The sequence below is a fragment of the Homo sapiens genome, chromosome 1 (assembly GCF_000001405.40).
Source record: "Homo sapiens chromosome 1, GRCh38.p14 Primary Assembly".
NCBI lineage: Eukaryota > Metazoa > Chordata > Mammalia > Primates > Hominidae > Homo > Homo sapiens.
In genome coordinates this window covers 179,070,575-179,081,838 of record NC_000001.11, presented here as the reverse complement: position 1 = coordinate 179,081,838, position 11,264 = coordinate 179,070,575, and the positions used below count along the sequence as shown (strand labels likewise).

At 43.6% G+C, this 11,264-nt stretch overlaps 1 protein-coding gene across 7 annotated transcripts in view; it reads right to left on the bottom strand.

Annotated features, from left to right (window-relative positions):
• Positions 1-5,271: 5,271 nt before the first annotated feature.
• The window catches only part of FAM20B (FAM20B glycosaminoglycan xylosylkinase), a 59,234-nt gene continuing 53,241 nt past the window's right edge, over positions 5,272-11,264 (bottom strand). For all 7 annotated transcript variants that reach the window (XM_047436093.1, XM_047436094.1, NM_001324310.2 and 4 more), the window contains one exon: positions 5,272-9,926. In XM_047436093.1, coding sequence (XP_047292049.1) covers positions 9,695-9,926 — 232 coding nt within the window. In that variant the 3' untranslated portion in view covers positions 5,272-9,694. The remainder of the gene's footprint in view (positions 9,927-11,264) is intronic.

The following is an 11,264-nucleotide window of genomic DNA, read 5'->3' as shown; positions in this document are numbered from 1 at the left end:
TTGCAAAGAAGGTGAACTCAGGCTTTGAAATGGCCACTGTCAATCACTCCGCTAGGACTTTCGGACGGCTCTGGTGGCCCATCAGAGGCCTACCGAATAAGGACACTCCTGCTTTGCCTCGCGTTTGCAGATCAACTTCCCGCCAACCTGTTAGAGGAAGCCGGAAAACCGTCTCAGTCAGGAGCGTTAGGCAGGCCAGGGGAGTCAGCTGAGTGGAGAAGAGGCCCTGGAAAGAAGGGCACAGCTAGGTGCCTGTCTGGCCAAGGTTGCCCTGGCTCCTCCGCAGAGGGAAATGAAACCGCAGCAAAACACCAGCAGGTTTCCACAGTGGGAGTCCACGAAAAGCAAGAGGAAGCTGATTGACGGGCTCCAGTCTGGAGGTGTTTGGAGTTTGGAAACCCCCCGAGTCATGGGTAAATCATGAGGCGTCATGTCAATGTAATTATATCTCATAAAAATCCGAAGTACTGTGTGCACTTTCTTGACTAGGTTTGCAACTTTCAAGTGCTGGGACTGAGCAGCCCATCCGACACCATTGGCAAAAGACTACAGGGCCTCTTTCCCTCAGCGCTCTCTTCTCCATAGCGAGGAGCATGGAACAAGGCTGTTAGATTTCAGAAGAGCTTAATGCATTGTTTAAAATCACCTGGCTTACTTCAGCCAAGCCAAAAAGCCGTCTTGTCTTAGGAGAAAACTGCTGTCTAGAGAGATCAGAGGACTTGGCTAATGTCATATGTTTAGTGGCTTTGAGGTTGGGCCCTCCAGACAGTAAGGTGAATACTAGCACCGTGTCTCACAAATGTCACAGGCAACTTGATTCATCTGTTCACCCCAGTCTCTTAGATCACACCGTGCCAGGTCTGCTCCATTCTCAGCAGCTCACCAAATTTGTGCCTTTCATTCGAACAGCTACAGAAACTAGATAAAGCACCTTTGCTAGGACACGAGGTTGAGTTGAAAAGTAAAATGTTTATAGTGTCTCAGCCATTCAGTGTGATGTCAAAAACTTTTCATAGAGTAGCAGCCATGGCACCAGCCCAGCACTGTGTACATCGAGCTTGCGGAGTCCACCGGAGACAGTTAACAGCACATACACCACAGTGCTTATTGGAAAACCAAAAAAAATTAGGCAGGGTGTGGTGGCTCACGCCTGTAATCCTAGCACTTTAGAAGGCCGAGGCGGGCGGATCACCTGAGATCAGGAGTTCGAGACCAGCCTGGCCAACATGGTGAAACCCAGTCTCTACTAAAAATCCAAAAATTAGCTGAGTGTGATGGTGCGCATCTGTAATCCCAGCTACTCAGGAGGCTGAGGCAGGAGAATGGCTTGAACCCAGGGGGCAGAGGTTGCAGTGAGCCAAGATGGTACCACTGCACTCCAGCCTGGGTGACAGAGCAGGGCTCCATCTCAAAAAAAAAAAAAAAAGAAAAAAGAGAAAAGAAAAAAAATTAACTCACTCAACAAATGTCGTTTGAGTCTGAATGGCAGTCTAATATAGTGATTACCATTTTCTATTTGTGCAACCATGGATGTTACTGAACCGTCCCATGCCTGTTTCCTCACCTATAAAAAGGGATAATAAAATAGTCCCCTCATAGGGCTGCTGTGAAGATTAAATGAGCTCATTCAATGAGCACATCATCAACACTCAATACGTGGCCAGTTTTATTTTTGTATCTACCCAGCCATGGAGGAGGCTCTGGGTGGTCTACACAGGAGGCAAGGATGGCTTTAGTTAATACTGGTGGTTTATAAGTGAATTTATGGTGAAAAAATTAATAGTAACAATAGTTTATTAAAACAATCCAAGTTTTAAGATGTTGTGGAAAGAATTATCTGTACTTGGAACTTTTATGTAGGGCTACCTGCTCATTTCTGAGATGTTCTGACTTGGATTTAGCATCCCATTGTAAATAAAGTAGGTTAGCTGGGAAGTTCTTCGACAACCAACTTGATTTCAAGACATTTTTATTATTTATTTATTTATTTATTTATTTATTTAGAGACGGAGTCTTGCTCTGTCGCCCAGGCTGGAGTGCAGTGGTGCAATCTCGGCTCACTGCAACCTCCGCCTCCCCGGTTCAAGCGATTCTTCCCCCTCAGCCTCCCAAGTAGCTGGGATTACAGGCGTTCACCACCACGCCCCCGCTTTTTTTTTTTTTTTGTATTTTTAGTAGAGACGGGGTTTCGCCATGTTGGCCAGGCTGGTCTCGAACTCCTGGCCTCAGGTGATCTGCCTGCCTGCCTTAGCCTCCCAAAGTGTTGGGATTACAGGCGTGAGCCACTGCGCCTGGCCGTTTTTTTCCAAAAAAAAAAAAAAAAGAGGTAAACACTTTTTCACCAAAGAGTCAGTCCCGTGTAGAAACAATAAATCCAAACACCAGTTTCTAGATACGTCTCTTGAGTATTTCAATAAATACTCCTTTCCGTCTCAGGCCTTGGAGGCTGTGCTCGTTTTAAAGTTCTGGAAGCAGTATCTCATGGATGACGGGGACATCTAGAGGCTGCTGGGAAAACTACAGACAACTATGATTCTTTAGCAAGCATTACGGTGCTACTCAAGGGCGGTTCCAGAACCCCACCACTGGCATCACCCAGGAGCTTGTTAGAAATGCAGAATCTCAGGCCCCAGACATACTGAATCAAAACCTGCACTTTAAGAAGGTCTTTCTGTGCAGGGAGCCATGGCTCATGCCTGTAATCCCAGCACTTTGGGAGGCTGAGGCAGGAGGGTGGCTTGAAGCCAGAGTTTCAGACCAGCCTGGGCAATAAGGCTAGACCCCTTGTCTCTACCAAAAATAAAAATAAAAAATAAGCTGCGTGTGGTGGTGCGCGCCTATAATCCTAGCTACTTGAGAGGCTGAGGGAGGAGGATCACTTGAGCTCAGGAGTTCGAGGCTGCCAATGAGCGATGATTGTGCCATTGTACTCCAGCCTGCGTCAAAGCAAGACTGTCAATCCAAAAAAAAAAAAAAAAGCCTAAGGCAAAATTGGCACACAACACCTTTATTGATGTCATCTGAGTATGACCTAGCTTTACAACAGACATCTTCCCAACCCCACTGAAGGCAATCAGAACCATCTGCCTTGGAAACACTGGGTCAAAAGCAAGTCTCGGCCTGGGACGGTGGCTCACGCCTGTAATCCCAGCACTTTGGGAGGCCAAGGCAGGTGGATCACTTGAGGTCAAGTGTTTGAGACCAATCAGCCCGGCCAATATGGAGAAACCCCGTCTCTACTAAAAATACAAAAATTAGCCGGGCGTGGTGGCATGCGCCTGTAGTCCTGGCTACTCGGGAGGCTGAGGCAGGCGAATTGCTTGAACCTGGGAAGCGGAGGTTGCAGTGAGCTAAGATCGCGCCATTGCACTCCAGCCTGGGCACTGCAGTGAGATTTGGTCTCAAAAACAAAACAAACGCAAGTCTCCATATTTAAATAACCCTGCATGAGAAACATTACAGGAATGTTTCCCAGCTCATCTATGTTCCTTTAACATCTACACAGCACTTGAGGTGGACTGAGAATGTCCTCAAGAGACAGGGCACACAAACATTTCCTAGAACAATGAGAAACCCCTGAAGCGATATTTCTGGTGACCCAGATACTGAAAATACAGGCCCAGAAGGCCCTGTATCCACTAAGCAAATAGTTCTGCATTTCCGGAGTCAGGGGTTCTATACACACCTCTCGTCAAGCCTGGATCAATCTCCACTTTTTCAATGTAGGTACTGCCTAACCCAATCCCTCCCAATCCCCACCTCCATGATCCTCTCCCGTTTCTTATTCTCACTGCAATTAATTTATATAATTCCTGAGGGACTTGGTGCCTCACAAGCAGTTTTTTTTTTTTTTTTTCTGCCAGGTCTAGACTGCAGGCTCTTTGAGGGAAAAGACAGTCACTATCATCTCAATGGTATACCACAGCTTGCAGCACAATGGCCCACAGATCTACTGATGACAGACCAAATATCTCACAAATTGTGATTTAATACCATTATTCCTTGGGGCTTATACTGCAACTTACCTTACAAAACCCTACCCATGGAAATCCAGTGGCTATGACCATTCCTATCTATTTTACAAAATGACGACTGCTAAAAATCAGTCTAATAAGCAAACATACTAGGTAAAATTACCCAGTAACAGAGCCCCGCCCTCCCTACTCCCAGCTACCTTTTTCAAACTCTAATACCAGTCGTTCTGATATGCTTGAGAAGCAAATGAATCCTGAACTCTAGCCTGGAAAAGAATTTGTATGTGGTGAGTCAGTGAGATACACAGACCAGGCTCTACTAGCCTCCCACATGTATTCATGTACAAATGACAAAAACTAGCACAAATATGCTGCAAATAAAATAGTTTTGTTTTGTTTTTTGAGACAGAGTTTCGCTCGTTGCCCAGGCTGGAGTGCAATGGCACGATCTCGGCTCATTGCAACCTCCGCCTGCTGGGTTCAAGCAATTTTCCTGCCTCAGCCTCCGAGTAGCCGGGATTACAGGCGCCTGCCACCACACCCAGCTATTTTTTTTTTTTCTTTTTTTGAGACTGAGTTTCACTCTTGTTGCCCAGGCTGGAGTGCAATGGCACAATCCCAGCTCTCCGCCTCCCGGGTTCAAGCGATTCTCCTGCCTCAGCCTCCCCAGAGTAGCTGGGATTACAGGCATGCACCAAGCTGGCTAATTTTGTATTTTTAGTAGAGAAGGGGTTTCACCATGTTGGCCAGGCTGGTCTCAAACTCCCGACCTCAGGTGACCCACGGGCCTTGGCCTCCCAAAGTGCCGGGATTACAGACATGAGCCATGGTGCCTGGCCCAATAAAAATCTTAAGAGCTTTGCTCAGTTACCTGGTTGAGGTTTATGATGCTGGATTCTATTTCAAAAGTTAAAAATCTAGGTGTCCTAAGAAGTACTACTAGGGCAACTGGCCTTCTCTTCCTGCCTTTTTTGTAGTGTGCTGACAAGTTCTTCAGGATTCATAATTCTTTACCTCTAAGGAAGCTGCAAAAATGGAGTTAACTATTAAATATACAAAAAGCACCTAACAATGATCCCATAGAAAATTTTGGTATAGTTACAATCTAGTATGAACCGTTTGAAGACTGGTGAGGAAATTTAAAGGTCTAATCCACCAGGTACTGTGAAACTATCCCTGTGGAAGTTTAAGTGGTCACAAAAGATGTAATCTTCTTCTGTCCCCTAACAGGAAGGGAACTGAAATAGGAACCACTGGAAATATCCTGAAGGGGGAAAGAAGAGGAAAAGATCAGATATCAATATTTATTAAAATCTTTATTCATTTTCTTTTTTCAGAATTGAAACCCATAGAACACATTAGAAATTTAGATCCATATCTGTCTTGTTTGGTATCTTACCAAGTACAATCTCTGTCTGTGCAACAGCTCTGAGAGGAAATCCTTGGCAGATCAAAAGAGAGGGTAGTGGCTCCCACACTTTCCATTTAAGCAAATAAATGAGCTTCTGAGTAGTTGTTCCCAGTTTCACCCAACATTTTGTGTTTATGAGAAACACCTTAGTTCCTAAAAACCTGTGGTAGTCCAGTACCTAGCCCCTACCTTGTCACCACCCAGACTTGAGGAATTGAAGGGAAAAAAACTGGCCTTCCCCTGTAGGATGAGTTTCCCAAGGCCAGATGTGCCTGGCTCACTAGTATGTCTGGCCTGTGCTGGCACACTAGAGTTGCTCAGTAGTTATTCGCTGATGAATGGTCTTTATGTTAATTAGGGTCCACTCTCAGAGACTGAGAACCTTTCACTAAGGTTCTTTCTGAATCCTTCAGAAAGTCAGTGTTCCCCTTTGTCAAAATAAATATGTTTTTCTTGCTAGAATACATATACGACTATATACATTACATATACTTTTACTCATGTTTCCTGAAGCTCAAACTCACAGGATGAGGCATATAAGATAGCTTACTGATGATGCTGTTTTACCATCATTGAGGTGTGGTCATTTACTGGTCAAAGAATACACGGGTGATCGAGAAGAAAGGCTGAAGAAATATGGCGGATGGGAAGGGAAGGGAAGGCAAAAGCATTTTTTTTTTTTAGAAAAAAAAGATCGATTTCTTTGGAAGATAATGCTGGCTTCAGATGACATTGAAAAATTGCCACGTATAGGACTCATCTTTCCCAAAATAATATGCAATTAATGTACCTGAATTCTTCCATTTCCTTCTTAAATTTCATTTGACATATTAACCCTGAGTGCAAACAGGGGGCAATGCCTTATTAATACATTCTTGAATAATACTCTGAGCAAATCAGATCCTATGAATTTGTTTTACACAGAAAATTATTTACATTTCCCCCAAACCCACAATGCAGCCTTACACTAAAGAACAGTTTTATAACAAAACCTTTATACTCAAATTTATCCATTCGAACTTTAGAATAAACATGTTTTAACAAGTTGGAGGAGGGCAGGAAATGGCCATGAGTTCTGATTTTCCTAGTTTTGTAGTATTAAAATGTCTCCACGTCTACCTTTGGATGTTTGGTAGGCATACCTAACTTACAGCTGATCCAAACCCTGCAACGACTTGATTGTAACAGCCTTAGATTCTAATAAATAAAGTAGGACAGTGTTACAAAACTTAAAAAAAAATTCACCTCCTTTTTTTTTTTTTAAGACAGAGTCTCGCTCTGTCTCCCAGGCTGGAGTGCAGCAGCACAATCTCAGCTCACTGCAACCTTCGCCTCCTGGATTCAAGTGATTCTCCTGCCTCAGCCTCCCGAGTAGCTGGGACTACAGGCGCATGCCACCGTGCCCTGTTAATTTTTGCATTTTTAGTAGAGACGGTCTCACCATGCTAGCCAGCCAGGCTGGTCTCGAACTCCTGGCCTCAGGTGATCTGCCTGCCTCAGCCTCCCAAATGCTGGGATGACAGGCATGAGCCACGGCACCCGGCCCCCACCTCTTCTTTCAAACAGTGTTTGAAATTTTAGGGCTTTCTGAATTTTAGAGCTGTAAGTTTATGGTTGGTTTTCTCCAAGATTTGCCTAAACATACTTTTCCAGCTTACTCCAATCCTGACTTACAACAAAAATTTATATTTTTAGTGCCATGTCATACCACTCTATTAGCTCAATTCTAACTTTATGGATTAGAGTTCTAAATTTTATAGATGAAAATTCTAAATTTATCATCAGAATGCCTTTTAAGATCACGAGTTTGAAAACAGATGGGAATAAAATGAAATGATATATTTTCTGCAAATGCTTTCAAGAAAGGATGAGACATTTTCTTTCCTGCCTGCTTTTTTCCTTAGCAGAATCTTCTGCCTTCAATGTTATGAAGTTCCCAGTTTCAGAAGACTTCTTATTCATTTCAGTGTGGCATACTAAAGGCGTCATGTATTTGAAAGACCACAAATCCATAACTTAGTTCAACTAACATTTACAGGGAGAGCAGAGATGACATCTCTTCCTATTGTCTCCTCCCAGCTGGCTCCTGGAAGCTTGTGGGTGAGCACTAACCAAGGTATTCTCATACTGAGCTGTGAATTTCCCTGGACACACAACACTGAGTAGCCTTAAAACTGAAATCAATGCCTCCTTTGGTTAACACGAATTCTGTGTTTTGTGCTAGTCTGTCTTCTTAAATTCAATACACGCTTTTTATAACTCAGCCCATTGTTCTGTTCATCTCAAAATGTATATAAAATGTACAAAAGTTTCCTAATTTCATGCCATTTAAAAATAGTTACAGGTTATTACTCAGTTATCTTTCAATGCAAGAAAACTGGGCATAAATTCTAAAGCTGTTTTTGAGAGTGGTTGCCTAAAACTAGTTTCCAATGGCTGGCATTAAATGTATTCAACCACACTGTTTATATATTCGCCTCTACTTGACAGAAATGCAAAGCTGGAACAGCACCTCAACAAGATGCAGGAGCAAAGCACACAGCTCTGAGTCCATAGATGAGTGGGCACATCAGGCCTGTCTTCCTTTGCCCCTGTGTTTTACTGCAACTACTTACATGTTGAGATCACTTTGCCAGAACACAAAACAAAAACTGTGTTTTACAAACCTGAAATTTGAGAGTGCTAAGAGGAGAAAGAAGCATAATACAACATCATGGGTTCAGAACTCCAAACAAGACTGAATGATAGAATTAGGATTTGACATAAATCAAAATCTTAAGGCTCTTCCTTTTAACCTCCTCAATTTCAAGGCTCAGAAGGCTTAAAATCTTGGCCGGCCACGGTGGCTCATGCCTGTAATCCCAGCACTTTGGAAGGCTGAGGCAGGTGGATCACCTGGGGTCAGGAGTCCAAGATCAACCTGGCCAACATGGTGAAACCCGAAACCCTGTCTCCACTAAAAATATAAAAATTAGCTGGGCACGATGGCGGGCGCCTGTAATCCCAGCTACTCTGGAGGCTGAGGCAAGAGAATCGCTTGAACCTGGGAGACGGAGGTTGCAGTAAGCCAAGATCGTGCCACTGCACTCCAGCCTGGGCAACAGAGTGAGACTTGGTCTCAAAAAAAAAAGAAAAAAGAAAAAAAGAAGAAGGCTTAAAATCTTTGTTTCCAATCTTCCATGGCCCCAAATCACAAGATAAGTCCAGCCACTTATCTGAGAGAGTAAGGTATACACTCTCACCTGTAGGAGTGTCCCTTTCTTATGAGAAAGGGACAAAAAGGTTGCCGATCTCTTGGGAACAGCAGCTTCAGTGACAAAAATGCCTTAAAGGCAGAGGTGGAAATTCATTTCAGAAGAGAAACGAGGATGACAGAGACCACAGGCAACCTGTTATTCAAGGTATTATTTCAGTTTGCTTTGTTAATTTGGGAAGGACTGCTTTTGGCAAAAGGGGAAAAAATTAGTCTCCACAGAGAATCATGCTTAGATTGTAATAGTATTTTCTCTAGAGACAACTTTTTGGTTAATTGGGACACAACTATGAGAATGCAGAATTTACTTAGGTGCAAAGTCATGTTTGCTTTTTATACACCTTAAGATCCTAAATACAAGGGAACCTGTTTTTCAGTAGTTCAGTCATCTCCCTGATTCTGGTTCTACCATTGGGTCTCTCTCTCTTCTTCCCTCCTCTAAGATCATCAAAACAATACTACCCAATGGCTTAAAAGCCCAAACATTTTTCTGTTTTTGTCCTTCCCTCCAATTCTATCTTAAACATGTATCTCCTCTAACAGAGTGTGCTATTTTGGCTTGATGGAATGCAAGGTTTTATTTGCTGCCACTCTGTAGGACAGTAAGCATTCCAATGTAACTAGTTCTGGTAAAAAAAAAAAAGACAAAGAGATTGCAAAGTGTTTCCACAAAATCCACGGGCGTAGAGAAAGGACTGCAAGGTTCAACTCAAAACACATGCTCCAGAGCCAATCCCAGTATTCATCTATCCAAATGTCACACCTGTTTGTCCTTTGGCATGGGAATTAAGACTGACCAACTATGATGCCCAACCCTAGAATGAGCAATTGCCGAGGAGGTGAGAAGGCGATTCAGCAGGAATGTCTCCATGCTCTGAAACTTGTGGTCTTTGCTTTAGTTTCTACTACAGAAAATACCAAAGACATCCAAGGCCACTCTGTCCCGTCACCAGAACTTGCTGCTGGCCACTTCCAATCCATCTCATACCATTTGGAATTGATTGTGCTGTTTCTCTATCTTTGTAAAAAGAAGTTTCACTTATTTTGTGTCGAGAATTACAAGTGTGAGAGAGGCATCCTGTCTTCCACCAGTACTGTGTCCATCCCAAACTGGTCGGTGCACTGCTTCACGGTGGCCAGGACACTCAGGAGCCGCTGGTCCACGGCGTCCAGATGAGGATCAGAGAGCACTGGGGAGATGGGGTCATGGGCCATGGCAGATTTTAAGGCAGACTTTAGCACACCATTCTTTAGGTAGTTCAGTCTGTTCCAGGTGGACACCCGAATGCTGGGAGAAAAAGTTATAGAACAAGGTACATAAAACTTCTCATTATCAAACGGAGTTGAAAGCCTGCTAGGCAGACAAAAGTGAAAAAATAATTAGGTAAAATCCTTTAACTAAATAATTTTTGCTTTAGAATTACCCCTACATAATGAGTAAGCCACATTACTATGTTTTGATATTGTTTCTGTGTAACTAATCAGAGATATATACAGAGATTTACACACATGTTCACTGCAGTGCTGTTTATAACAGGAAAAATGTTGAACAATCTGAATGTCTAACGACTGGGAAATAGTTAAATTATGGTTCATCCATTGAAAGGAATACCATGCAGCTGTTAAAAACAATTTTGAAAATTTAGTGGAATGGGAAAATGCCTATGATATGATGCTGGGTGGGGGGAAGAGGTTGGAGGAAAAACCTGTTTCACTTCAAATCTGTAGGAAAACAAAATACACATACATGGATTGGAATGAAGTACACTACAGTGTTAACAAGAGGATCCTTAGACGTTAATCCTTAGACGTTAATGGGTACTATAAACTTCCTTCTTCCTCATGTGTTTCTGAAGTCTAAAATAATTTCTACTGGGAAAAAATTATTATTATTATTTTTTTTTTGAGACAGAGTCTTGCTCTGTCGCCCAGGCTGGAGTGCAGTGGTGTGATCTCGGCTCACTGCAAGCTCTGCCTCCCGGGTTCACGCCATTCTCCTGCCTCAGCCTCCTGAGTAGCTGGGACTACAGGCACCCGCCACCACGCCCGGCTAATTTTTTTGTATTTTTTAGTAGAGACGGGTTTTCACCGTGTTAGCCAGGATGGTCTTGATCTCCTGACCTCGTGATCCGCCCGCCTCGGCCTCCCAAAGTGCTGGGATTACAGGCGTGAGCCACTGCGCCTGGCGGAAAAAATTATTTTAAGGATACCTATCTGCCTTATTTCACCAACTGCTACCATTTGAATGTCTGTCCCCTACAAAATACATGTTGAAATTGCCATTGTAACAGTATCAAGGTAGAGTCTTTTAAGAGGTCGTTAGGCCATGAGTGCTCTGCCCTCATGGGTGGAACTAATGCTGTTATTAAAAGGCAAGTTCAAGGCCAGGAGCGGTGGCTCACATCTGTAATCCCAACACTTTGGGAGGCCGAGGTGGGCCCTCAGGTTGGGAGTTCAAGACCAGGCTGGCCAACATGGTAAAACCCCGTCTCTACTAAAAATACAAAAATTAGCTGGGCGTGGTGGCAGGTGCCTGTAATCCCAGCTACTTGGGAGGCTGAGGCACAAGAATCACTTGAACCCGGGAGGTGGAGGTTGCAGTGAGCCAAGATTGTGCCACTGCACT